Source organism: Homo sapiens, chromosome 7, assembly GCF_000001405.40.
Source record: "Homo sapiens chromosome 7, GRCh38.p14 Primary Assembly".
In the NCBI taxonomy this organism is placed as follows: domain Eukaryota; kingdom Metazoa; phylum Chordata; class Mammalia; order Primates; family Hominidae; genus Homo; species Homo sapiens.
The window spans coordinates 158,234,562-158,262,248 of NC_000007.14; the positions used below are offsets into that span (position 1 = coordinate 158,234,562).

The following is a 27,687-nucleotide window of genomic DNA, read 5'->3' on the forward strand; positions in this document are numbered from 1 at the left end:
TAAAAACATACAAATGGCCAACAGGTATAGTCATCAAATAAAAACATACAAATGGCCAACAGGTATAGTCATCAAATAAAAACATATAGGTGGTAAACAGATATAGTCATCAAATAAAAACTTACAAATGGCCAACAGATATAGTCATCAGAGAAATACAAATCAAAATCACAATGAGATATCATCCCACTCCCGTTAAAATGGCTTTTTTTTTCTTTTGAGACGGAGTCTTGCTCTGTCTCCCAGGCTGGAGTGCAATGGCACAATCTCCGCTCACTGCAACCTCCACCTCCTGGATTCAAGCGATTCTCCTGCCTCAGCCTCCCGAGTAGCTGGGATTACAGGCACCTGCCACCACACCCGGCTAATTTTTTGTATTTTTAGTAGAGACGGGGTTTCACCATGTTGGCCAGGCTGGTCTCGATCTCCTGACCTCATGATCTGCCTGCCTCAGCCTCCCAAAGTGATGGGATTACAGGCATGAGCCACCGGGCCTGGCCCAAAATGGCTCTTATTGAAAAGACAGAAAATAACAAATGGCTGGCACGGATGTGGAGAGGAGCCCTCGGACACTGTGGGTGGGAATGTAAATTAGCGCAGCCACTATAGAGAATAGTATGGAGGTTGCTCAGAAAAAAGTGAAACTAGAACTAACATATGATCCAGAAATTCCACTACCGGGTTTGTATCCAAAAGAAAGGAAATCAATATATCAAAGAGATATCTGCATGCCTGTGTTTATTGCAGGACTAGTCACAATAGCAAAAATATGGAGTCGACCTAAGTGTCCATCAATGGATGAATGGATATAGAAAATGCAGAATATATACACAATGGAATAGTATTCTGCCATAAAAAAGGGTGCAAGCCTGTCATAGGCACCAACATGGGAAACTGGAAGTCATTATGTGAAGTGAAATAAGCCAAACATAGAAAGACAAATACTGCATGTTCTCACTCATATGTGGGAGCTAACAAATGGATCTCATGAGGGTGCCTCCGTTGAGATTGGTGGTTACCAGAGGATGGGAAGGGGAGCTGGGAGGAAGGAAGGAGAGACATTGACTAATGGCTACAAATAGACAGAAGAAATAAAACCTAGTGTTTGATAGATCAACAGGGTGACTAGAGTTAACAATAATGTATGTATGTTTCAAATTAGCCAAAAGAGAACAGCTTGACTGTTCCTGGCACAAAGAAAAGATGAATATTTTAGGTGAAGATCCCAATCACCCTGATTTGATCTTTACAAATTATACAATGGTATTAAATTATCACATGTACCCTGAAAATATGTACATCGATTCTGTATCAATATAGAAAAGCTTTCTAGAGAGCCCATTTTTCTACACTCGGCACCTCCACAACAAGCAGGAAGCAGCCGGTGTGACCACACCTCCCAAAACCACCATTACGGGCTGCTTAGCATTCTAGGACACGGAGACGTCGTGGGGGAAACTGCAGGGTGACTGAAGAAGGAGAATCCCAGAACTCCCCCAAGGACGACAGTGCAGAGCCCACAGCGTTGTTGAAGGGGCTGGGTGAGCTGTGAGTAGATCCCAGGCACCATCACCATCGTCCTTGCCATTGCTGGCCGTCATCTCTGGTCATCGCAAACAGAGCCCCTTACGGTACGTTAGGGGATGGTGTGGAAACGCTTGGCTAAATGAAGATGCTGCTGACATTGCTACGTGGTGCCTGCCACACAGGCAGGCAATGTCTTCAGAGGAGCCCCAGCTTCTCCTCTCCCTTCTCCTCCTCAGATCTAGGTAGGGCCGCTTGTGCTCCCTTGGGGCATGAAGGAAAAACTTCACGCAGGCCACCCCTCTAGCCACCGTGCTCATTCAGAAGCCACACCAGACAAACGTTGAGGGGTGGGTAAGGCTGCCTGGGCCCTGGGCCCTCAGAACCTCAAGCAAAGCTGCCCGAAGGTGGGGTCTGCCCTGGCGTCTGTGGGGTGGGGGCACACAGTCTGATCCCAGTCTGACATGCACCAGCTGTGAGCCTCGAGATGCCTCAAGTATGTCTTCATGGAGCCGCCGTGAAGACGTGATGGCACTCAGTGGGACTCCCCACAGGGCCAGTGGAACCTGTCCCTGCCTGGCCCCCCAGTTACCCAGTTACCCGGTGCAACCTGTCCCCGCCTGGTCACCCAGTTACCTGGTGGAACCCGTCCCCACCCAGCCACTCTGTTACCAGGTAGAACCTGTCCCTGCCCGACCACTCTGCTGTGGGGAAAAGCAAGAGAGATCAGATTGTTACTGTGTCTGTGTAGAAAGAAGTAGACATAGGAGACTCCATTTTGTTATGTACTAAGAAAAATTCTTCTGCCTTGAGATTCTGTTAATCTATGACCTTACCCCCAACCCCGTGCTCTGTGAAACATGTGCTGTGTCAACTCAGAGTTGAATGGATTAAGGGCGGTGCAGGATGTGCTTTGTTAAACAGATGCTTGAAGGCAGCATGCTCCTTAAGAGTCATCACCACTCCCTAATCTCAAGTACCCAGGGACACAAAAACTGCGGAAGGCCGCAGGGACCTCTGCCTAGGAAAGCCAGGTATTGTCCAAGGTTTCTCCCCATGTGATAGTCTGAAATATGGCCTCGTGGGAAGGGAAAGACCTGACCGTCCCCCAGCCCGACACCCGTAAAGGGTCTGTGCTGAGGAGGATTAGTAAAAGAGGAGGGAATGCCTCTTGCAGTTGAGACAAGAGGAAGGCATCTGTCTCCTGCCTGTCCCTGGGCAATGGAATGTCTCGGTATAAAACCCGATTGTATGCTCCATCTACTGAGATAGGGAAAAACCGCCTTAGGGCTGGAGGTGGGACCTGCGGGCAGCAATACTGCTTTGTAAAGCACTGAGATGTTTATGTGTATGCATATCTAAAAGCACAGCACTTAATCCTTTACATTGTCTATGATGCAAAGACCTTTGTTCACATGTTTGTCTGCTGACCCTCTCCCCACAATTGTCTTGTGACCCTGACACATCCCCCTCTTCGAGAAACACCCACAGATGATCAATAAATACTAAGGGAACTCAGAGGCTGGCGGGATCCTCCATATGCTGAACGCTGGTTCCCCGGGTCCCCTTATTTCTTTCTCTATACTTTGTCTCTGTGTCTTTTTCTTTTCCAAATCTCTCGTCCCACCTTACGAGAAACACCCACAGGTGTGTAGGGGCAACCCACCCCTACACTCTGCCACTTCGCCGCCACCCATGCTGCCATTGCACTGATGCTGGCTTCTCGTTTCCTGCTCCCCCTCTTTCTGAACACCCCCCGGCAGACACAGCGCTTACATGGGAGTGCACGAAGGACACCCTTCCCTCACGCTGAGCTCAGCACAGAGCCTGCAGGAGTTGCCCGCAGCCCGGCGGCTGCCATGGAGATACACACAGGACACAAGTGTCTGTGATTTCTGTGGCCACACCTGTGCTGGCTGCTCCCGACGTCCCTGGAGGCCAGCTGTTCCGGCAGGGCTGGGGCACACACACAATCTCCACAGTGCAGCCGCGGCCTCCTGCTGGGAACGTCCGCCCCGTCCTGCCTCTCGGGGCGGCTAAGTCGCTAAGTCACGCCCGTGTCCGGCTCTGATTGGAAAAGGACGCCCTGGGCTTGGCTGGGAGGAAAGGCCAGAGGGTCCACAGGGGAAAAGCTCAGCTCTGGGGGGCATCCCTCCCTACAGCTGGGCCTGGAGAGGAGCCCAGCACACCTGATGGCCATCGCAGATCAGGAAACCGTCCTCCCCTCCCTCCTGCCCTGGGCCAAGCAGGTCCTGCCAGTTACTATAAAATAAAGCGGGGGGTGTGGGTGGCACCAAAAGCACAGCAGGCGAGACGCGGGGCACAGGAAGGAAGGAAGCCACAGCAAGGCTTCTGGTCTCTGCCGCTCATCAGAAACCTTTCTTCCGCCCTCAGCCACTGTCCCTCTTAATCCAGCCACATTCACGGTTTCTGTATCACCCAAAACATCATGTTTGTTGGAACTTATTTTATTTTAGATTCAGGTCTTGTTAACCATTGCTCCAGGATGCTTTACTTTCCTTGTCTTAAACGGGAACTTCCCAGGTCATGTTATTAAGAAGTGGGTGCCCAGGAAGCACGGGTCGCAGCTCCACACGGACAGAGGCTCCTGGGACCTGGGACTGGCTCTAGGTCATGACAGCTCAGCAGGATTCCAGGGACCGACGGATTCAGTCCTGAGGGGCAGACCAGGTCCTGGTAGGTACAGCAAGGAGGACTCCCCTGCAAGTCTGGAGCAACAAGGCCCCATGAAGGGAGACAAAACCAGGGACCCTGACACGGTGGCTACAAGGGCAGAGGTGAGAGCAGAGGTGTGAAGGCCACGCAGCCCCCAGGACGCCCCCAGGACAGGCTGGCCTATGCTAAGCCACGCGGCTCCCCAGACTCCTGAATGGAGAAGAGGGTGCTGGCCTCAGAGGCTCTCGTGAGGGCCGTGGAGGGGAGCGGAAAGCCAGGCAGGCAGCTGCCACCCGAGCCTGGTGTTTGCTCGGTCAAGGTGCCACAGCCCCCATCACCCCGGGGTGGGGGCCACCACCATGCCCTGAGGACCGAGGGCCTTCTCTGAGGCCAGCCAGAGGGTCGATGTTCCTCTGCGCCTTTTCCAAACAGCAGGATGGTGCAGAAACCTCAGGAGGGTAAAACCCGTCAGCTATTCCCCTTGGGGCACTGTCTCTCTGTGCAGGGAAGAGTCAGCAGTTCTCTCTGTTGGAGCAGACGCGACCTCCAGCTCTAACCAAGACTCTCAGACCACGTTCAAGTTGCAGCCAGCAAGGAGCCCGGAGCTGGTATCCCGGAGCTTGTTCTTTCCTGGGGCGCTTTGTTTCAGTCCACAAGCCAACGCTCCGTAGCGCGGCCCCCACCCTCCTGCCGTGTGGGGCAAACTATTCAAAGTCCCCTGGCCGTCAGAAGGTTCCAGAGGGTGTGCAGTCACTTTCCTCCCCATTCTCACAGCAGCAGGACCAATGGGGACGTGGCTTTGTCTGCATCCCTGCGGCCCCTGCCACTGCACTCGCCACCATCAAAAGCTTCTCCTCTCGGAGCTCAAGGACACATCAAATGATGTCACACCACTTCACGCCCTTCTCCCAGCAGCCCCGCTTCAGTGCCTGGGAAGCTGCACAAAATAAGATTCTGTTATCAAGCAACGCTGCACTTCCCACATCTGGATGCACGCCAAGACAAGACGTCAGTCATTTCCTGGTGAAATGAAAGAAAGCCACGCTTCCTCCACGCCCATTGGGTCACGAAATCCTTGCTAATCCTGGCCGGGGCACTGGAGGATGCTATAAACAATCACGGATCTGAGCAGGTGGATGAAGGGAACGTAGATGACACGTTGAGGGTGTGGTGCGGGCAATACACAGACTAAGAGTGGGAACTGGCGAAGTGAGCTATAATCCCAAGCATAAAGGAAAGGAGGGGAGGTGGCCTCCAGCGCCTCTCCTACTAGTTAAAGGAGAGAGAGGGAGAAAAATACCACTGGAACCTCCAGGCAGGTCAGACGGGCACTTGGGGCTTATGTGCATTATTTGATGGAACAAGCAGTGTCTTTGTTTCTTAGGATGGCCATTTTTATCTTTTTGATAAGTGTGGAGGAAGTTGGCTTAGTATAATTTAATTTCTCTCTCCTATTAACAGGTCTCAGTAAAACAATGGGGAATATACCAAAAAAGAGAGAGAGAGAGAGAAAGCCAAAAGAACATAAAACTAGCACATTAGTCTTTTAAATAAAAATGCAGAGGAAGATAGGGAAGGAAAAGAATACTACCCAATATTAGTCCAGACCTCGAATACGACCAGGACAGCCTGCCACAGCAGAAAGACCAGGTGTGTGGGCTTTTGTTTTGTTTTTGTTTTCTTTCGAGATGGACTCTCACTCTGTCGCCCAGGCTGGAGTGCAGTAGCGTGATCTCAGCTCAGTGCAACCACTGCCTCCTGGGGTCAAGTGATTCTCCTGCCTCGGCCTCCCAAGTAGATGGGATTATAGGTGTGTGCCACCACACCCGGCTAATTTTTGTATTTTTAGTAGAGACAGGGTTTCACCATGTTGGCCAGGTTGGTCTTGAACTCCTGACCTCAGGTGATTCACCTGCCTGGGACTCCCAAAGTGCTGGGATTACAGGTGTGGCCACTGTGCCTGGGCAGGTGTTTGGTCTTTCTAATGGCAAAAGGCTTCCTTCGAACTTTACCCTTGCTAGATCTTAATATTGATTCAATGGGGAGGCATATTTTGCTAACAGCAAAGAAGAAAAACATCATTGAATAATTGAGATACAATTCTCAGTCTAAGGCCATCAAACTGTTTGTGGACAGGAAGTGGAAGCAGAAGCTGAGCCTGGCTTTCCAGGCAGAGGCCTCTGCTGTGGTGCCCAGGAACCATGTCAGGAGCCCACTTCTGAATAAAGATGCCCCAAGGCAGCCCCGTGGGCAGGTGCCCTCAGGCCCAGGGCCCCCTGTGAACGTGGATCATGGTCTTGGGCCAGCCAGCATCCAGTTCCAGCTTCATGGTGGAAGCATCAAAGTGTTCTTGGTTAACCCATTTTAGAAATTCCTTCAGTTACCAGGTGACTCTTCCCTTTCTCCAGTTCGGCTATAGTTTCCTTTCATAACATATTTGCTGACGGACTTTAATTAGAATCCTTCACTTTCGGCCGGGCGTGGTGGCTTACACCTGTAATCCTAGCATTTTGGGAGGCCAAGGGGGAGGATCACCTGAGGTTAGGAGTTCAAGACCAGCCTGGCCAACATGGCAAAACCCTATCTCTACAAAAAATACAAAATTAGCCGGGCATGATGGCAGGTGCCTGTAATCCCAGCTACCCAGGAGGTTGAGGCAGGAGAATGGCTTGAACCCAGGAGGCAAAGGTTGCAGTGAGCCAAGATCACACCACTGCATTCCAGCCTGGGTGACAGAGTAAGACTCTATCTCAAAAAAAGAATTAATAAATAAATAAAATTTAAATTTAAATTTTAAAAAAATCCTTCACTTCCCCTGACACAGACTTTAAAGTACGAATCATCACACCCAAATTCAGCTCTGAAGACATTGTTTTCTGAAGTGTTCACGCCCTGTTTTGGGCATACCAGGAAAGGAGGCAGTGTTCTGTTCTGTTTTCTCATATCCTACCTGAATCTTATGATTGATTTTACAGCTAACGTTCTACAGCTCCCCGTTCTCCTAATCACAGCTCTGAGGTCCTCCCCAAATGATCACTGAGTAAGAAAACATCTTGGGACCTTTTTTAAGTCAAGGAAATGATACAGATGGCTCGAATGTTCCCACAAAGTGCATATGGTCCTGGAGAAGGGAGACCACAGCTCTACCAAAGCTGCCATCTGAAACCCCCTCAGGCCCATATTTCTAGACAGCACAGTCGCAAACCGAGGGGTCCTTATCTTCACTAAACTAGCTTTGCTTTTGCTGTGGAGCCTTGTTTGCTTGCTTCTGTTATTGTCCAAATCTTAACTGACTCTGACTTGGCCTATAAGGCAGGTTCACCCACCCGGTAGAGCCATGCTAGTGGCTCCTAGCAGCCCAAGAGCCCAGCCTGTAACCATTCATCCCTGGAGGGAAAGGAGCTGAACCTAAAGTTTCCAGTACAACCTCCTCCCCGCCCCGTCCTCTGCACCTTCCTCTCCCATCGTTTATTTTCATTTCCATCTCCAGTCTTCTATCTCAAGCTCCACTTTCCACCTGCCTAGGCATGGACTTCTCCAACCTCTTAGTTCCGCTTCTTTTCAATTAGAGAGAATTCTAAATCAAAAGCGTGTCTGCAAAGTGGAGAGATTCAAAAGATGAGAATCTCCTCTAAAGATTGCAATCAGTGGCCAAGAGTGAGGGAGGGAATTCACAAAGTTCAACTCCTTTCAGAAAACATCTGTGTTCGTCGGGAATACTGGCCTGTAGTCTTCTTTCCCTGGAGTGTTTGTCTGGCTTTGGCATCAGGGTAATGATGGCCTCGTAAAATCTGTTTGGAAGTGTTTCCTCCTCTTCAGTGTTTTGGAAGAGTTTGAGAAGATGGGTATTAGTTCTTCTGGAAGTGTCTGGTAGGATTCAGCAATGAAAACATCCGTTCGTGGGCATTATTTTGGCTGAGACATTTTATTACTGATTCAATCTCCTTACTCGTTACAGTCTGTTTTTCTGTTTCTTCATGATTCAGTCTTGGTAGGTTGTATGTGTCTAGGAAGGGCTCCATTTCTTCCAGATTGTCCAATGTCTTGGCGTATAAATGTCCACAGTGGTCTCATGACCCTTGGTGTTTCTGTGGTATCCATTGTAACGCCTCTTCTTTCATTTCTGATTCTATTTATTTGAGTCTTCTCTCATTTCTCAGTCTAGCTGAAGATCTGTCCATTTTGTGTCTTTTCAACAAAACAACTCCCAATTTTGATGATCTTTCCTATTGTTTTTCTAGGCTATTTGACTTGTTTCTTCTCTAATCATTGTTATTTCCTTCCTTCCACTAACTTTGGGCTTAGTTTGTTCTTCATTTCCTAGTGCCTTGGGGTGTAATGTTAGGTTGATTAGAAAACAAAATAAGCTAACCCAGGAAGCTGGAGTGAGAAGATTCCAGCTAGAAAGCACAGACGCCTTCACTTCAGCCTCAACCTGTGATCAGAGCAGACACAGCAGGAAAGCAGGAAAGCTTTCATTTCCATATACCAGACTCAGAGCTGAAAAGAGGCAAAGAAAGTCTTCTCTCCCAAAATTAATCAATGCAAGAGGAGCAGACCATTTCACTGCTTCACACTGGCACTTCTCACCTTGTTTCTCTTGCCCAACCCTAGTAAAAATGATTCCCATGTGAGCACAACAGCCTGGACATTGTGGTTTAAAAGTCTGGTCACTGTAGTGAGAGGAAAAAAAGATCTGTCTGGTTTCATGAGAAGAAATGCTCAGTGGAGAGATGGTTACTCGTGTTTTCCAGATGGTTCTGTGGACCCCAGAACGCTGTCCCAGCCAAACTCCACCACAGATACCACCTTCAGAGTTGGCCAGGAGCTGCAGGAAGCCCACAAAGGTTGATTTGGAAGAAGCAACATCCTACAAACCAGATCCATCCACACAGAGAGCAGGCTCTGCTCCTTGGCAGTAGTCTCTACTTAGTGCTAAGTACTAAGTACCTCCTAAGTTGTAGTCTCTGCTTAGTACTAGGTACCTCCTGAGTCATAGTCTCTGCTAAGTACTAAGCACTAGTCACTACTATATATCTCCTAAGTATCAGTGTCTACTTAGTACTAACTACTGCTAAGCACTAAGTACCTCCTAAATAGCAGTCTGTTTAGTACAAAGTACTATTAATGATAATTACAAACTACCTCCTAAGTAGCAGTCTTTGCTTAGTTCTAAGTACTGCTAAATACTAAGTACTTCCTAAGTCACAGTCCCTACTTCGTATCTAATACCTCCTAAGCAACAGTCTCTACTTAGTGCTGATCCCTCCCACCCCGAGTCACTGACATCACTTCCTGTCCTCCCTCCTTCCTCACAATGTGGCCCATTTTCCCCACTGACCACCAATGCAGCACCCAGTCCCTGGGAAGAGAACAAGCTGCCTCCTTCCCCCAGGACTTCCATGGTGGTTCCTGCTCAGCCAGAAGGGAAAGGCCAGGCTCTGAAGTCCTTCCAGCTAGCTCCTGCTTCTTCACTCAGAAGTGCAGGAAACTGACCTTCCCATTAATGCTTCAGAGGGGGTAGTAGCACAGAAGTTGGAAACGCAAATTAAAAGGTGAAAGGTCAAGGCAGTGTCCTGAAGAAAAAGGCTGAACAAGCCTCAAAAACACACCTTTCAGGTATTCATGAAAAAGGAACAGATACACAGAGTGTCTGTAGACAGTGAGCTGTGTGTTTTGCGTGAGTGTGAATGAGCGTGTTTTGTGTGTGAGCTGTGCATAAGCTATGAGTGTTTATGAGTTTTTGTGTGAGCTGTGTGTGAGGGTGTGTGTGAATGAGCATGTTTTTTGTGTGTGTTTTGTGTGAAAATGAGTGTGTGAGCGTGAGTTTTGTCTGAGTTGTGTGTACAAGCTATGTATGTGTTTTGTGTGAGCTGACTTGTGATTGTTTTGTGTGTCAGTTGTGTGAGTTCTGTAAGCTGTGTAAGTTGTGAGTGTGTGTGGTTGTGAGTTGTGTTAGAGTGAAAGTGTGTGTGTGTGTGAGTTGTGTGGTTAGCGTCAGAGTATGTGTGGGTGTGTGTGAGTTGTGTGAGTGTGAGTTGTGTGTGAGAGTGTGTATGAGTGTGAGTTGTGCACATGTGAGTGTATGGGGGGCGTGTGTTATATAAAATATTAAACTTTTTCTCTGAGCTCAGTGTCTCCCAGTGTGACAGAGCCCCAGTGCCCCGGGGTGGGGGCCGTGGGAGAAGCGACAGGCCTGAGCGAGGCCAGCAGTTCGAAGCCCCTGCTCCCTGGCTGTGTCATGTGGACAAGTGACGTCGTCTTGAGGATGGCCTCGTGAGGCGGCGGTGGGCATGAAATGAGATGAGGCGTCCAGCCCTGCATCTGCAGCGTGGTCAGCACAGAGGCTGACATCCATGGTCATGCCGGAATCCGTGGTCATGCCAGAATCCGTGGCCATGCCGGAATCCATGGCCATGCCGGAATCCGTGGTCATGCTGGAATCCACGGTCATGCCGGAACCCATGGCCATGCCGGAATCCGTGGTCATGCTGGAATCCACGGTCATGCCGGAACCCATGGCCATGCCAGAATCCGTGGTCATGCCAGAATCCGTGGTCATGCCGGAATCCACTGATGGTGCACGTGACCCACGATGGGAAAAGTCACAAGACAGCTTCAGAGCTGGTCAAACGGGACTGAGAGGGGCTGCACCAGGAATGCGCGGCCTGTTGAGTTTCAGTGATGAGGCCATCAGAAGCCATCTCCACGCACTTCTCATAGAGCGCATGGGCCGCCCTGGCCTGAGTCAAACCAGGGGCCTTTCATCCGAGCCGACCTCTTGACGTAGAGTCAGGTCTCCTTGCCGAGAGTGGGACCTGCACCCTGATCCATTACTAGGTGGAGGGAGTTTTCCAGACTGGGTTTGTTTGGGTTGATACAAAGGCAACTCTGCACATCCAAATTCGCATGGATGGGAGCTGCCTTCTAGGCCCCTCTGGCAGTTTCCCCAGGAGTCAGGCACAGCGTCTCATGACGTGGCTGTGTGAACAGGTGAGTGGGGATGTGGAAGCAGCCGGCTCAGGGCCGGCACACAGTAGGTCGCTTGTGCGTGGCCACCATGCTATCCGCCAACCCCGGTGCCATGGTTATCCCTATGCTGACTCACAGGCATGGGGCTGCTGACTCACAGGCATGGAGCTGGACATCAGTCTGGCTCGCAGGCACACTGGAAAGCTGCTCTTACCCTACTAACTTTCAGTCACTGAGACACAAATCAGGGCCTGGTTGGCAGCAGCGAGACCGTCAGGGTGCCCTCCCCACCTGCGACAATAAACACCGCATGATGTTACCCTCCAGGGATGACCCAGGATTGTGTGAAACCAAAATTCATTAAAAATGAATATTCTGGGCCAGGCTGCATTCACTAATTGATTGATTGATTGATTGATAATTTGATTTATTTAAAATACACCTTTCTCGTAAGCTTCTCGGCACATACGGCAAAATATAAATACCCCACATGAATAAAATTATCACTTGAAAAAACTCATCACTTGAAGGAAGAGGGGGAAAAATCCATGTTATGGAAATGGCAGCGTAATGGGTGGGTCTCCTGGTGACCAAAGACATCCTGGGAGGTGAGAGATGGAGAGAGAAACAGAGGCTTAAAGATTTGGAGTCGAGACGCGTCTCTCTACCAAGAAGGAAGAAGACGGCTCTCACTGCCCCCAGCTCTAACTCCGTGTGGTCCACAGGACAGGAAGTCCCACACGGGAGAAGGAGGATGCTGGGGCTGCTGACGATAAGAAAATGTGAGCGTTTCACAAGTCACCGTGGGTGGTCATTGTCCTTGTCCACGGGATTTTTCAAAGTAGGACAATCTGTATTTTAAAGAAGTTGCGTTTTCTTCCTTTTTGACCTTTTTAAAGACTTATGCAGAAAGTGACTGCAACCAAAAGCATATGGTTTTATTGCTAATTCAACCTTACAGAGCTGACAGGCAAGGCCGACCAATGTGTGGGAGGGCTCTGATGACAGCAACGACGACAGTGAATCCAGGGGTGACGTCCCCCAGGCGTGTGCTTCCCATGGCCATGCCGGAATCCGTGGTCATGCCGGAATCCACTGATGGTGCACGTGACCCACGATGGGAAAAGTCACAAGACAGCTTCAGAGCTGGTCAAACAGGACTGAGAGGGGCTACACCAGGAATGCGCGGCCTGTTGAGTTTCTGTGATGAGGCCATCAGAAGCCATCTCCACGCACTTCTCATAGAGCGCATGGAGCTTCCCAGAGCAAGCGTGCAGCCATGCCAGGCCTGGGCTGGGAGACATGTGTGAGGACGCACGATGGGGTTAGGCAGCCTGAGAAACCATCCCTGGCACGGGCTGCCTCAAGGAATGAGGAGGTGTGGGCTTCCCGGCTGCCCATCCCCATATCTGCACATAGCCCCTGCATCTCACTACACAGAGCGTGGCCCGTGGGTGGCACCCCCCAGCATGGCCAGGAGCACCGAGGCGCACGCTGGGCTCTGAGACGCCCCCTGGCCAAGAGGGGTGGAGGAAGGGGGCAGGCGCCAGGATCTGGAAGGAGATTTCCAACCCACGTGGGGTCTCACAGGAGAAGGCCGTGATGGGAGGTGGGGAAGTGGGGAGGAGGGCGCTCTTGACCGTGTCTGCGTGTCTAAGCAAAGGATACAGGGGCGCAAAGGGAAGGAGTGGCCAGGGGTGCCCGTCCCAGGTGTGCTCTTCTTCACGGCGCCCCTGCTTCCCCACCACGCCCATGTCCACGGCTCGTGGGCAGCTGGGCACTGGGCCACTCAGACACCGTCCTAAACACTCCACACAGGTAACTTGCTCCCTCTCCAGCCACACAGCAAACACAGCAAAGGGGACTTGGGTGTCTGCGGTTTTTTTGTTTGTTTGTTTTTAAGATGGAGTTTCATTCTTGTGGCCCAGGCTGGAGTGCTATGGTGCGATCTTGGCTCACTGCAATCTCCGCCTCCCGGGTTCAAGCGATTCTCCTGCCTCAGCCTCCTGAGTAGGTGGGATTACAGGCATGCACCACCATGCCTGGGTAACTTTGTAATTTTAGTAGAGATGGGTTTTCCCCATGTTGGCCAGGCTGGTCTCGAACTCCTCACCTCAGGTGATCCACCCACCTTGGCCTCCCAAAGTGCTGGGATTACAGGCATGATCCACCGCGCCCAGCCTACCATCTGTGTTCTTAACCATACCTCGCACAAGACCCCAGCCTGGAGAGAGGAGCGGGAGGGGGAGGCCTTTATCCCCCCATTATTAGGGAGATCCCAAAGGCTTGTCTCATAAAATCACAGCACATCGTTTCTGAGGGTAAAGAATTAGAGACTCCTTGAAAATGGGAGAGAATGAGTGATGCTTTAACAAGCTTCTAAGATGAAATCCTAAAGCTGGGGCTTTGCTCAGAGCCCACTAAGGCCAGGCGGGTCATGCTGTCCTTCCAGGAGCGGCCCCACCCCTTCCGTCTTGACACTCAAACCATCGGGCTGGAGGCAAATGTCAGAGGAGAAAAGCCTTTGCTTTTCTCCCAGCTCTCCTGTAAGAAGCCGCTGAGCTGCCAGCTATGCAGCAAGCACCTGCGTACCCCAAGATGCAGCCAGGAAGGAGTGGGGTACCCCGACCACGTGGGGACACAGCCCTCCCAAGGGGCAGCCAGTGTTTCCCTGAAGGAACTGAGGCCAGGAAGCTTGTTTCTCATTTACTTGAATTCAAATCTTAAAATGTTTGCAATAAATTCAAAATTTTCAAAATACTGTGTAGGACTGAACAAAACAAAACACTCCCACACACACCCCATGCACACATATCACATATGTGCATATATACACCACACAGTGCACACATGCCACACACGGACCCACATCACATACATGCACATACACACGCACACACACCACACATATGCACACATCACACCCACACAGCACATATGTGCATATATACACCACACACGTGCACACACGCCACACACATGCACCCACATCACATGCATGCCCCTACACACGCACACACATCACACATATGTGCACATCGCACACATCACATATGTGCATATAGATGACACACGTGCACACATGCCACACGCATGCACCCACGTCACATACATGCACATACACATGCACACACCACACATATGCACGCATCACACGCAGCACATATGTGCATATATACACCACACAGTGCACACATGCCACACACATGCACCCACATCACATACATGCACATACACGTGCACACCACACATATGCACACATCACACATGCAGCACATATGTGCATACATAAACACACGTGCACACATGCCACACACGTGCACCCACATCACACACATACACCACACACACCACACATATGCACACATCACACACACACATGAACATGCCACACACACCACACGTGAATCACATATTCATATCACCACACACGTGCACACAGCACACACACGAACACACATCACACACATGCACACCATACATAAATGCATACATACACGTATCTACCACACATCCTGCATGCACACGCATCACACACATGCACACCATACACACATGCATACATATGCATATCTACCACACCTGCATGCACACACCCTGCATGCACACACATCACACACATGCACACCATACATACATGCATACATACACATATCTACCACACCTGCACGCACACACCCTGCATGCACACGCATCACACACATGCACACCATACATACATGCATACATACACATATCTACCACACCTGCACACACACACCCTGCATGCACATGCATCACACACATGCACACCATACATGCATACATACACATATCTACCACACCTGCACACACACACCCTGCATGCACACGCATCACACACATGCACCATACCTGTGAGTTGGATTGGCTGATGAGTCTCCCAGTTGTGACGTCTATGCAGCCAATAAAATGTGGAAGAGGGGTTTCCTATGGTCAGTGAGGCTTTAGGACCAGAAAAGCCCCATCCCCTGGGGACTGCAGAGGGCTTTATCTCAGCGGTCAGATGCCCTCTGTGACATCATTGCCAAGCATCATTCACTCATAACTTTGACAGACATGCACTGAATGCATTCCCATTTAAACTGCTTCTCCTGTGCTCCAGCAAGACGCCACGTCCCTCCCCCAGTGTGTGTGCACAACGACCCGTGCAGTGTCATTGTGTCATAAATGCATCTGAGTGTAATGCAAGTGAGAGAACACGTGTTGGATGCACGACACACACACGAGTTTCCCACACTGGACACTCAGTGGATGCACAACACACACACGAGTTTCCTACACTTGACACTCAGATGCATTTATGGTCTACTCTTACCAAAGTAAAAAGCAACAGATGAATTGTTGAAGTATGGTACATCAGCTCTAAATGCTTCACATATTTATGGAAATATTATAATAAAGAAAATACTTATACTATCAAGGAAAGCCGAACAACAGGACCCACAATCGGATCTATGGGGTGGTCCCTGCCTCTAACCTGAGCTCAGATAAAGTAGGACACTTAAGCCCTCATTTTTAGGATGTATGAATGTGGATATTCTCTCATTCCTACTGTTGCATAATTTTCAGATTCTTTCTAATGCATATAGGTTATTTATTGTTATACATTTATAGCATAATGCATGCCTATTTAAGAAAATTGAAATGGTATCAAAACAAGGCAGAAATTGCACAGAACAGCAAAAGGGAACCGGCCTCCCCATCCTCATCCCCTCTCCATCTGCTCTTAACCCAGACTCAGGTTTTGCTTTTCTGCATACATGTACACACCCATGTACACACACATTCCATACATATGCACACACACACGTACACACACATCCCCCCCACATCCACACAGAAACAGAAGTGATAGAAAACAACGATTTTTATAAGACAGGTATATTTTCTTTGCAAAATCTCAAACCCCCGAATTGTTGTGGTTTCTCTCTCGTCTGTTTTTTGACGTGATGCAAAACATGTTTGAATGTTGCGCCGTAGTCCTGATTCCTTCAAATCAACATCAGCTGACTCTTAGCAGCACTGTGCTATCACTATTTCATATCATTTTCAACCAGTCATAAATGTGTCCTCCTAACCATGTTGCCACAAAAGACAATTCCAGATGCTTTGCTATCTGGTAGAGAAAAAATTAACAATTCGCTTATTCTTAAAGTGTTTGTGGGGAAATTTTCCAAAAGAAAAAAGGTGAAATTACGCACAGTGAGATGAGCACATTTTTACTTGATTGTAACAAGTACGGAAGTTAAAGCCCCCTGGAAATCTCGGTGGAAATCACATAAAGTAGACTCTAGGAGACAATTCCCTATCTAGGCTGGCATGAAATCCTAATGCATAGAAAGGGTAATGGGACACGCACAAAGCGTACTGTTACTTAGCAGGCTCTCAAGAACCACACAGCATGACGGTAATAATGTGCTCATCTTCAGGAGAATGGGAACAAGTGCTCAGGGTCAAAGAACTGGGCTCCCGTCCTGCCTGCTGAGGTCCCTGGGGTGCTTTGGAACCCTCATTGGTGAGCCGAGGAGAACCTCGCCTTTCTCCCAGCAGAGATCAGATGTCCTCCTTACTGCACGGATATGATACATGTGCATGCGGTATGTGTGCATGTGGGGCGTGTGCAGGTGTGCAATGGATGTATACAGTGCATGTGGGGCGTGTGCAGGTGTGCAATGGATGTATATGGTGCATGTGGGGTGTGTGCAGGTGTGCAATGGATGTATATGGTGCACGTGTGGTGTGTGCAGGTGTGCAATGGATGTATATGGTGCATGTGGGGGGTGTGCAATGGATGTCTATGGTGCCTGTGGGGTGTGTGCAGGTGTGCAATGGATGTCTATGGTGCATGTGGGGCGTGTGCAGGTGTGCAATGGATGTCTATGGTGCACATGTGGTGTGCACAGGTGTGCAATGGATGTCTATGGTGCACGTGTGGTGTGTGCAGGTGTGCAATGGATGTCTATGGTGCACGTGTGGTGTGCACAGGTGTGCAATGGATGTATATGGTGCACGTATGCATGTGTGTGTCCCCCTCATTACCTCACATGCGTATAGAGCACAGACACACACCTTAATAAAGCCCAGAGTATGCTCAGCACAGTAAGTGTGCAAATCCTGAAACGCTGTAAAACTGGACCTGTGACTTGAAGCCTCCATTCCATTGTTGGGGACACACAAGCAGGGCTCCCTAAGGGGAGGTCAGGGAAACGAGAGCCACCACATACCTGCCCCAGGCTCAGGGCAGGTCCCAGCAAAGCCCCTTCTTGGCTCTGGCCTCCTCATCGTCTGTGGGACACGCCCATTTTACCAGAAACACAAAGTTGGTCCCTCCATCCATCCTTCGCCTAAGCAGCCTGCCTCTCCAGTTGCCATGGCAACTCTGCTCTGGTTGCCGCACAGCCTCAAGCCTCAGCTGCTTGGAGTGGGTGGGAACGCGAGAGCACTTGAGCACCAGTGGCCTGACAACTCTGCCTCGTCCCCATCACCTCTGCGGCGAGAATCAGAGCAGTCGCAGAAGCTCCTGCCACACCACTCCCATAATCTCTCAGTGCCAATTACTTGGAGGAAAAATGGAATCATCCCCGTGCCCAGGGTGGTGAGTGGTGTCACCGTTCGGATGGCTCAGATGAAGGCGGCCAACTGGGCAGCGGGAATGGAGCCTTTCTAGGCAGGCAGACCCAAGCATACTGCTCCTGAATTAGTGTGTGGGTTGGTGAGCACTCCAGGCGGACCTGATAGCCCGGAGCCCTATCCCTCACTACCCCCCAGCCCCAGCCCTGCACCAGTTACCAAAGACAAACAAGAGACACGTTTCTCCAAAGGATGGCAGGACAGGACAGGGTAGGAAGGCCCCACCACCCCATCTCCAGGCACCTGGCTTTCAGGGAAGCCACCACGCCAGCTGCACAGACGCGTGACAGGCACCCCAGTGCTGAAGCCCAAGGAGGAGGCTGACAGCCCAGTTAGATCGAGTCCAAGCAGCAAAATCACACAGCACATCCCGACAATCAGCCGCATCACATGCAAAGCCAGAGAACGAACCTCTCACTCCCCAAATCCAATCCTCCCCAACATGAGCCACCCCCACCACCCCCGATTGATGGGGAGATTAACATGCCGGAAAACGACCCCATATCACAAAGCAGAGCCTGGTTTCTCAAAGGAGACCTTAATCTTCCCTCACCCTTGGGCTGGCGGAGTGAGAGTCCCTGTGGCCCGAGGTTCCTCCTGTCATGCCCACGGCACTCAGAACTGAGGCTGGCATGCGGAGGGTGTGGTTTCCCCGGACCAGACCTCGTTGTCCAGACCAAACCCAACCACAGTTCCAATCTGTTTTTTAGCCAAGTGCTTTAAATATGTGTCAAGCACTAATGCTGGGAGGACTTAAATAAATACATGAGCCTTTTCTTCTAATAAACTGGCAGATCCACCAGATCTACCTGGGCCAGTCTCATTTTCCAGGCGACTGAGCCTGGATGTGCATAACTGAAGCTGCCTGAGGACTGGAGGACTGACCGGGGCCAGCACAGCGGGCGGGGGCCTGAGGACTCGAGGACTGACCGGGGCCAGCACAGCGGGCGGGGCTCTGCCCATTAAATACACTTTCGCGTGTTTCTTTTAACAACGTGCTCCTTTCACAGAAGTGTTTTATGCTGCATTTCGTAGAAAGGAGGAAGCACTCAACAGAACCTTCCGTTTCCAGTCACCGGGTGATTGCCGCGCCTGTTGCTTCCACAAGGAACCCACTGCAAAACCATCTAGGGCAGGGGCAGCCCCGGGTCTCCAGAGCACACGCCAGACTCCCGAAACCCAGGCCAGGACCGCGCCCCACAGGAATCTGTCCCCTCCCCTCGGCGGTGGTCAGGTTGGCCTTGAGTCTTCCATGAGAATCTGCAGAATGCGGCACACAGGCGAGGCAAGACTGGGGACTTCCTTGAATAACAAGGTGTCCAGTGCTTTAAAAATACTCTAATGGTGAGGAAGGAAATTGAGAAAATGATTCATTAGAAGAGCGGAATAACTCTTTTTAAGAGCAGGCTCGCAGAAGTCGAGCTGGGCAACAGATTCTCGAGCCGCTGGCATCCATATTTATCGAGCAGAGGAAGCATCCCTGTAACTGCACGGCGGCACAGAGCCACTGCCCACGGCACGACCCGCCCTCCATCTCTACGTTCAGGAGCATCCCTGTAACTGGACAGCAGCACAGAGCCACTGCCCACGGCACGACCCGCCCTCCATCTCCACGTTCAGGAGCATCCCTGTAACTGGACAGCAGCACAGAGCCACTGCCCACGGCACGACCCGCCCTCCATCTCCACGTTCAGGAGCATCCCTGTAACTGGACAGCAGCACAGAGCCACTGCCCACGGCATGACCCGCCCTCCATCTCCACGTTCAGGAGCATCCCTGTAACTGGACAGTGGCACAGAGCCACTGCCGCCCACAGCACAACCCGCCCCCCATCTCCACGTTCAGGAGCATCCCTGTAACTGGACAGCGGCACAGAGCCACTGCCCACGGCACGACCCGCCCTCCATCTCCACGTTCAGGAGCATCCCTGTAACTGGACAGTGGCACAGAGCCACTGCCCACGGCACGACCCGCCCTCCATCTCCACGTTCAGGAGCATCCCTGTAACTGGACAGTGGCACAGAGCCACTGCCCACGGCACGACCCGCCCCCCATCTCCACGTTCAGGAGCATCCCTGTAACTGGACAGTGGCACAGAGCCACTGCCCACGGCACGACCCGCCCTCCATCTCCACGTTCAGGAGCATCCCTGTAACTGGACAGTGGCACAGAGCCACTGCCCACGGCACGACCTGCCCTCCATCTCCACGTTCAGGAGCATCCCTGTAACTGGACAGTGGCACAGAGCCACTGCCCACGGCACGACCCGCCCTCCATCTCCACGTTCAGGAGCATCCCTGTAACTGGACAGTGGCACAGAGCCACCGCTGCACACAGCAGTAAAAATGTACAGCCCTCCCTCTCTGCGTTCAGGAGCAGAGGGCATGAGTTTCACCTCCCTACAGGACAGGAAACTACGACAGTCATCTTTGCACCTGAAGAAACAAATTATTTAAACTTTCTCATCCTGCAGTTTACTTCTTAGACATGTCTACTTTCTATAGCAAAATAGATCTGGACACGAATAATAAATGCGAAGCATGGTGTTACAGGGAAAATCCCGAGGCATGGCCCAGGCCCAGGAAGAAGCTGCAGAAAAGGAGAAATTCATGTCCCTCCCCTGCTGTCTTTCCTAGGACATCCCTTCCCTGCTCACCCACGTCCAGGACCTGTTCTTTGTATAGAGGTTCCTGTCTTCTGGTGTTGAGTGACACAGAGCAACCCAAAAGCTCCCTCGCAGAAGCCCCTGCAGGCTTCACGACGTGTGAGCAAGGGAGGTTCTTTGGCTAAAGACCCAGACAAGGCAATGATCTACCCAACAAGATCACCAAGGGCAAGACTTCACGCGAGCACAGCTGAGGAAGATGTTTGGGGCTTATCTGACCGTTTCTACAAGCATCTCTCAAATCACACCACAGAGGAAACCAAAAGGCCTGGTTCAGCCTCCAGGGGCCGGGCTCTGGAAGAAAGTAGGCCCAGGGCAGGAGTCCACGGCCACAGGGAACAGGGAATGCTGCCTTCCTGTGGGGAACAAGAGGATCGGCCACTCCACCACCAAAGATCCGCGGCCGAACCACCTTGCTGAAATTTAACCTGAACTTGCCTCAGCACGACAGCTTCAGGATTAAAAGTGGTTCACGGATTTGGGGAACTGCAGAGGACAGTATGTGTGTACAGAGAATTACACAATCATGTAGCTTTTTGTGGAGTGAGGGGTGTTGAGCCCTCTGTCCATTCAGGATGCTTTGGAAATGTTTTTACCAAACTATGAGTCTCACAGTTTCGAGGACTCCATTCCCGCTGGGGCTGTGCTGTCCGCCGCACCCTTGCACTGGGCCCTGACCCACCCTCCCACCCCATGCACCAAGCTCCTGGCCACTCTTTTCTGGCTGCCCTGGGCTCGCCAGCTGATGAGGCCAATGGGCCCTCCTGTCCCTGGGGCTTGGCACTAAGCCTCAGGGCACCCGTCCTCACTGCCTGACTACCTTTCTCTGCCTGTTCCAGCTGGACCCACTGAGCAAAACCTTCTAAACCAGACGATGCTCAGAACTACCCAGCCTCAGAACTACCTCTGTCCTCAGACTTAGATGCCACAGGAAACCCCTTGCTGGGAGAGCCAGTGCTGACTCCAGCTTCTCAGCGGGTTTGATTTTGGATGCCGTGATCAGAACCCTGCAGGTGCTGTGTGTTCTGTCTCATCCAGGGATGTCCCGTGTCTACTGCAGGACCTTCGGGGGAGGCCTGCCTGCAGAATCTCTGTGCAAAGGTGATGTGGGCAGGGAGTGTTGACGACGATGCTTTGATGGTCCTCTTCTGTTGTCTCCCATAGGCACAGCTTTGGACCAAGCTCTGTCCCCCACACAATGGACTGACCTCTTGGGACTCAGAGTCTGATGCCGACTGGCTGAGGAAAGTGGACGTGGCAGGGACCCCGCGGCTGCCTCTGCTGAGGGGGACAAGAGGGCACCGAGGCTTCTCCTCACTCTGAGAGGAGTTGTCACGTGCACCCTTGGAGCAAGGTCACCAGCCAGTCACAAGTGCAGGGCCATTATTCTGGTCCGCGCCATGTGGAATTTTAAAAAGTTTTAGATGGTGGACCATTGGCAGTTTTAGAAATACACTAAGGCCCCGGAAGACCTACCTATTGGTTCAGGTACCTGAGGAAAGGTGGTGGAGGAGACAGAAGCTGGCGGGGGCGGGGGGGAACCTAGGCAGCTCCCGTGAGGACAAGTGATGACGGCAGAGAAGAGGGCAGGACTCAAGCAGCTGGGCGCCCAGCAGAAGCTCCATGTTGGACAACCATGCACTACCCTGGTGGCTTGAGAGCAATAGAATTTGCCCGAGCTTAAAATTAAACTCAGCCCTAATAGGAAGTTTATGGAATGATTCACCATCTGTAATAAAATTTATCTTTCTTGGAGTAGAAAAGAGTATTTTTCCCAAAAAATATAGTCTCTAAGAAATTGTGGAATAATCAAATCTATCTATAACCTAAACTTATGCAAAAAGAAACATGGATGTGAGTTTATTCTGCCAAAACGAGGAATAAGGTCCTTCAAGCTACCAGCTTTTTGCCGTCTGGGAGCTTGGGTTTCAGAAGATCCCCTGTAAATTCCGGACCCCTAGTTCCCTGGAACAGGCATGAGACAACCTGCTAAGGCAGACTGAGAGCCCAGTCAGATCCCTGCTTTCCCTGGGATCTGGGTTGAAATGGAGTTGAATGAGGGACCCGGACAACCAGAATCATGCTCAAAGAGGTTTCGAGTATCCTCTGTCTACCACCCAGGTCAGCAGGCGGGGTTTGCCCTGGACCAGCGTGTGGAGAGACCCGGGCACACGGCTGCTCAGGACGCAGTCAGACGCGGAACCCGACCCCTCAGGTTTGATCACAGAAACCTGTGGCGTGTTTCTGGGGTAGGATCCTTCCTTTAAATAAAAACTTACACAGGAACCAAATGTTCAGAGAGTCTACATCCCAGATTTGGCTGATTCTTTTCTCCTCAGCGTTACAATGAGATGGCGTGATTTGAGGACCTGCTGTACGTGCGCTAAACGTCTTTTTCTTGTTACTCTGACATTCGAATCCAGTCAGGCATCCTGTATTCAATCTGGAACTCTGCTCTTCCTTCTGGGGGGCCCTCAAGCTCTGGGAATCATAGGATAAGAGGACTGTGGTGCTGGACGACCCCGAGCCCCCAGTTGGGTGAGCAAGCGTGCAGCAGCGAGAAATGTCTGAGCCCCCAGGCTTCAAGCCCACTTCGCTCAGCCTGGGTCTCACCCACTGTACAAAGGATCCAACCCTGCAGCTCCGCTCCTGGAGGACTGACCAAGACCTGCGGCGGTGACTGCCCCCGCCCAGCCCCACGGCGCTGACCTGGAACTGCCCTGATGATGAGAATCACAGGGATGGCGTGCGTGCCAGGGGTGAGCCCGCCTGCAGAGGAGCTGGTGAGGGCCACAGCCCATGCCCTCCCCTGCTGGGCTCCTTGCTGTCAGCTGACAGTACCCTGGCTTCGCGGTGACAGCAGCTCTTCCTCTGAGCGCTGCCTCAGCTCATCACATGAGCTGAGAGTGGGATGGGTCTCATCATAGCTACCTTCTATCCATTCTTTTTTACCTAAGGCTTTCTTGAGAGGCAGTTTTCACTTTGCAGCCTGAATCCTACTCTGCTTCAGGTAAGATAACTGGGCGGGAGCCTGACAGTTTAAGAGACCCAAATAGAACTAATCTCCAAGCGGGCACGTAAGAACAGCTCACAGCATGGCTGCCCCGGCTCCTTCTCACCTGGGATTTCTCCTGGAGCATTCCCGACGTCCACACACCACATTTCCTCCGCTCTGTCTGCTGCAGAGCCTGCTCCAGGGTGAACACAGGCCGTCCTGAATCAGCCGCTGACGCCTCCCCCGGCATCTCCACGTGCAGCCCCTGCCCTGCGCGACTGGCGTGGAAAGGGCTCTGGTGCGTCTCACACTCTGCTATCATCAGCCTCCTTCCTGCTCCAGTTCTTAAGTTCTTGTCTTTTCTGTTGTCTGCATTTAATTTAAATTTCTATGAATCGCCGCGAGACGACCCTGTGAGTACGCACTCCATGTGCATGTGCTTCTCCACGGAGGGAGCTGCCTGGGTGGCCGCCCTGCTGATCCTCTGCATCCAGCCTCTGGTAGGATGGGGGCGACCACATCAGATACCACCTCTGTGGAAGGGTCTGTGTCTCCTCCCCTGCCCCCCAGTCACAGCTTTGGGGGAGATTTCAGAGGTTTCAGGGCCTTCCCTGAAGCCTTTCCTGGAAGGTGGATTCTCTTGCTTTTTCAGCAACCACCAGCCGTTGGCTCTGCTGGAATGGCATCCAGGGTTTTCCTTGTTGCTTCTGTATCTGTTTGTTTTGGCCTATTTGTTGTTCATATTGTTAAGCTTTAGGGAGGAACATTTGGGGATCTGGTTTCACAAGGTCCCAGGAAGCCAGAAGTCTCCTGCAGCCACGCGAGGTCTGTCCACGAGGCCTGCACTGCGTGGTCGTGCTGGGTAGACACACCGGCTAGGAGACGAATGTGGAAGAGTTGATTTCAACTAAAGGATCCAGAGTGGGGTGAGGGAGGTGCAGCGTCGGTACAGGGAGGCAGGAAGCAGGAGCAGGACGGGTTGAGGCAGCAGCACCAGCAACGCCTGTGAAACCCCTTGTGCATGTCCCCGTGAGGACCCCTGATGCCTCTGCTGCCTGATGCTGCAAACGTCTCTTGAGTGAGAGCTCAGTTTCCAAATGGAGTGACAAGGAGCAGAACTTCTAGACACCGGAAGTGGAAGGTTGCTCAAGGCAGATGCACAAATAAATGACAAATGGCAGTTTGATAACCAACACAATGCTAAAGGGCCACAGGCACAGGCCACAGAGAAGGGCCATGGGAGCAGGCAGGCCACGCAGGACACGGAGAAGAGCCAGGGAAGCAGGTGGCCCATGCAGGGCACAGAGCCACCCTTCCGGGCAGGGCAAGCGGCCTCTCATCCCACGTCACAACCCGCAGCTGCTGCTGTGCTGCAGGGAAGAGTGACATCACAGACACCCCTCAGAGCCCCTGGGAAAAGCCTAAAGGAGGCTCTGGAGGCTCCACCAAAGACCGTCGGCACCAACGGCTGGCATGTTCCTTGGGAAATTAGAGGAGGGCGTGTCTGCCAAAGGTGGATTTATAACAAGAGCCCAAGAGTGGGACTCACTCTTCCCGGGGATCCCACCTGCTCCCACTCCTCACCAGGGAGCAGCATGGCTGTGTCCATGTGTCCCTGTGTGTACATGTATATATGCATGTGTTTGTGTGTCCTTGTGTCCCGGGTGTACAGGTATGTGTGTTTGTGTGTCCATGTGTCCATGAGTACACATATGTGCATGTGTTTGTGTCCATGTGTCTCTGGTATACACGTATTTGTCCACGTGTCCCTTTGTGTACACATATGTGAATGTGTTTGTGTGTCCATGTGTCCCTGGTGTACATGTATGTGCGTTTGTGTGTCCATGTGTCCATGAGTACACATATGTGCATGTGTTTCTGTGTCCATGTGTCTCTGGTATACACATATGTATTTGTCCACGCGTCCCTTTGTGTACACATATGTGAATGTGTTTGTGTGTCCATGTGTCCCTGGTGTACATGTATGTGCGTTTGTGTGTACATGTGTGTGCATGCACATATTTGTGTGTATGTGCGTGCACGTCTGTGTGCATATTCTGCACATGAGAACCAGAACGCCTGCATGCCTAGCAGACAAGATGCCTGCTGTCTCTCTGTGGGGTTTGGAGAAGCACATCAGTACAGTCACCAGGCTGCCTAAAACACGACAAAGCAAAGCCAATTAGCAATGCTGAGGACTCTCAGGCCAGGATGCCGCCCTAGGCTGCCTTCCCAAGTCAGCTAGCTTGACAAAAGCTTTCATATCAGTGCCTGCAAAAACACCTTCTCAGCACACAGCTCAAATGTTATTAAATAATTCCATGGGGAAATAAGACTTTATACACAAAAGTTTGCTTTATAAATAATTTGTCAGTAATGTATAGTAATGCATGCATTCATAAATCATGGTTAACAGAAGCAGAGACACAACCGGATACGACTTCTTCAGAAGGCCTAGAAAAAGAGTCTATTTGAATAAAGCCCAGAGGGCCTATAGAATCCAAAGTATGCACTCCCACAATACCCCAAAACAAAAGCAAAACAACCATGACATTTATCCTACGGACATTCTAATGCTGATAGTAAGGTTAAAATCCCCGTCCACATAACACACCCACACACAAACACAAACTGGCTGTTGCCACTAGCGCTCCGTGGGGCTGAAGATGGCAAGACCCCAAGCCTCAGGCTGGCATTTCCAGAAAACACCCTCGCTGCCACGCCTACACAAGGGGAAGACTGGCAGAGACGGCTCCTTCCTCCTGACCCAGAAGCCAGGAGAGAAAGCTGATCAGTCGCACAGGCCGGGACCCAGCATGCCCTGCCACTCTGGCAGGTCCTCAGGCAGGAGTGTGAGCTCCTAATGTCTCAGGAGAGACAGGGGAGGAGAGAGGAGGCAGACGGGCAGGAGGGGGCCTGTCCCTCCAGGGTCAGCTCAGCCCTCAGAGCCACTTGTAGGAGGTCTGGGCACAATAGATACAGTGACTCCTCTGAGAAGCTGCACTGTGATGGGACCTGGGGTATCCAGCAAGGGGGGCGTGAGGCTCCGACTGGCTGAGTCTGTGTCAGCGTCAGCAACAGTGCCCATCCCGAGCTCTTTCCCAGCGCACCCCAGGACATGGTGGAAGGTGGAAGACCCTGCCTACGGGCAGCTCAGAGAGCAGGTGGCAGAGGCCAGGGTCGGCCTGCATGCAGACAAGCAGGCCGGGCAGCGGGAAGAAGCTCCCGGAAAGATGGGAGCACCAGGCCACATGGAGCTTGGACAGGGCAAGGAGTCAGGGGGAGGGAGGTAACAGCCCCTGGGAAATAATAAAGCACACGAACTTGTGAGACACAATCCCTTCCCCAGATTCCCAACTGTGTGATCCTGGCAGGGACCCAGCCCAAGCCTCAGGGGCTCACAGGCAGCGATGGGCCAAGGAAGGGCTTCAGGGCCCAGCGACTCCCTGCAAACTGAGCCCTGTCCTGCACAGGTGAGAAGGGAAGGGATGGCTCCCCTGCCAGTTAGAGACAGAGGCTTGGTGCCTGGGGGACTCCAGCCACCCATCCTGAGCCAGAATGTGGACGTCCACTCCATAGAGCACACGAAGAGGATAAAACAGCAGGGTGCACTCCGGGACCGCAGGCTCCCCCCAGCACACATGGGTCCCTGTCTGGGCATGCACACCGCCAGGACACAGCAGCTCTGTGGAAGACGCCATGCAGAAGCCTCTTCAGGGCACCGCCATGAGCCACCCTCAGAACCTGAGCTCCAGGCACTACGGACGATTTTAGGAAACCTGTGTCTGTTGCATTTCGAATATTCTGACGGGGCTTCCCGTTATTTCAGGAGAAGCTAATTCCCCACACAGTTAGTGCTCAGGAGGGAGGAATCTAGGAGCTCACTTGGCCCTAAAGCCCGTGGTGGCTGCGCCGTACTTCTGCCCCTCCTCCCGCGGTGACTGTGACAACAGGAGGGGCCACAGCCGCCCTGAGCCCCTGGTTCCCAGGTGCCAGTGGCTGCAGCACGGAGGCCACCTACGGTTCCCAGAGCACGAAGAGCTCCTACGTCCAGCAGGGGATGTTAAGGGTCACACCCTCGAGGCCACAGTGACTGCCCCAAAGTCTGAGGCCTCCCCGGTTCACTCCTGCCTCCCTCCCCTGCTTTCCTGATGTAAACACAGACACAAGCATACACACTTGCATGGACACACAGGCACTCACA

General features: G+C 51.7%; 1 protein-coding gene across 14 annotated transcripts in view, besides 3 other annotated features; it reads right to left on the reverse strand.

The window, feature by feature from the left end:
• PTPRN2 (protein tyrosine phosphatase receptor type N2) overlaps positions 1 to 27,687 on the reverse strand; it is a 1,048,768-nt gene that overhangs the window by 695,506 nt on the left and 325,575 nt on the right. The gene's annotated exons all lie outside the window — the stretch shown is intronic.
• Positions 3,230 to 4,143: an enhancer, noted in NCBI's record as "H3K27ac-H3K4me1 hESC enhancer chr7:158030483-158031396 (GRCh37/hg19 assembly coordinates)". NCBI's record gives its function as "activates a minimal SCP1, AML or CMV promoter by ChIP-STARR-seq in naive H9 embryonic stem cells {active_cell/tissue: H9 hESC(naive)}" and the evidence as "EXISTENCE:reporter gene assay evidence [ECO:0000049][PMID:30033119]".
• Positions 10,739 to 11,239: an enhancer, noted in NCBI's record as "H3K4me1 hESC enhancer chr7:158037992-158038492 (GRCh37/hg19 assembly coordinates)". NCBI's record gives its function as "activates a minimal SCP1, AML or CMV promoter by ChIP-STARR-seq in naive H9 embryonic stem cells {active_cell/tissue: H9 hESC(naive)}" and the evidence as "EXISTENCE:reporter gene assay evidence [ECO:0000049][PMID:30033119]".
• Positions 25,807 to 26,717: an enhancer, noted in NCBI's record as "H3K27ac-H3K4me1 hESC enhancer chr7:158053060-158053970 (GRCh37/hg19 assembly coordinates)". NCBI's record gives its function as "activates a minimal SCP1, AML or CMV promoter by ChIP-STARR-seq in naive H9 embryonic stem cells {active_cell/tissue: H9 hESC(naive)}" and the evidence as "EXISTENCE:reporter gene assay evidence [ECO:0000049][PMID:30033119]".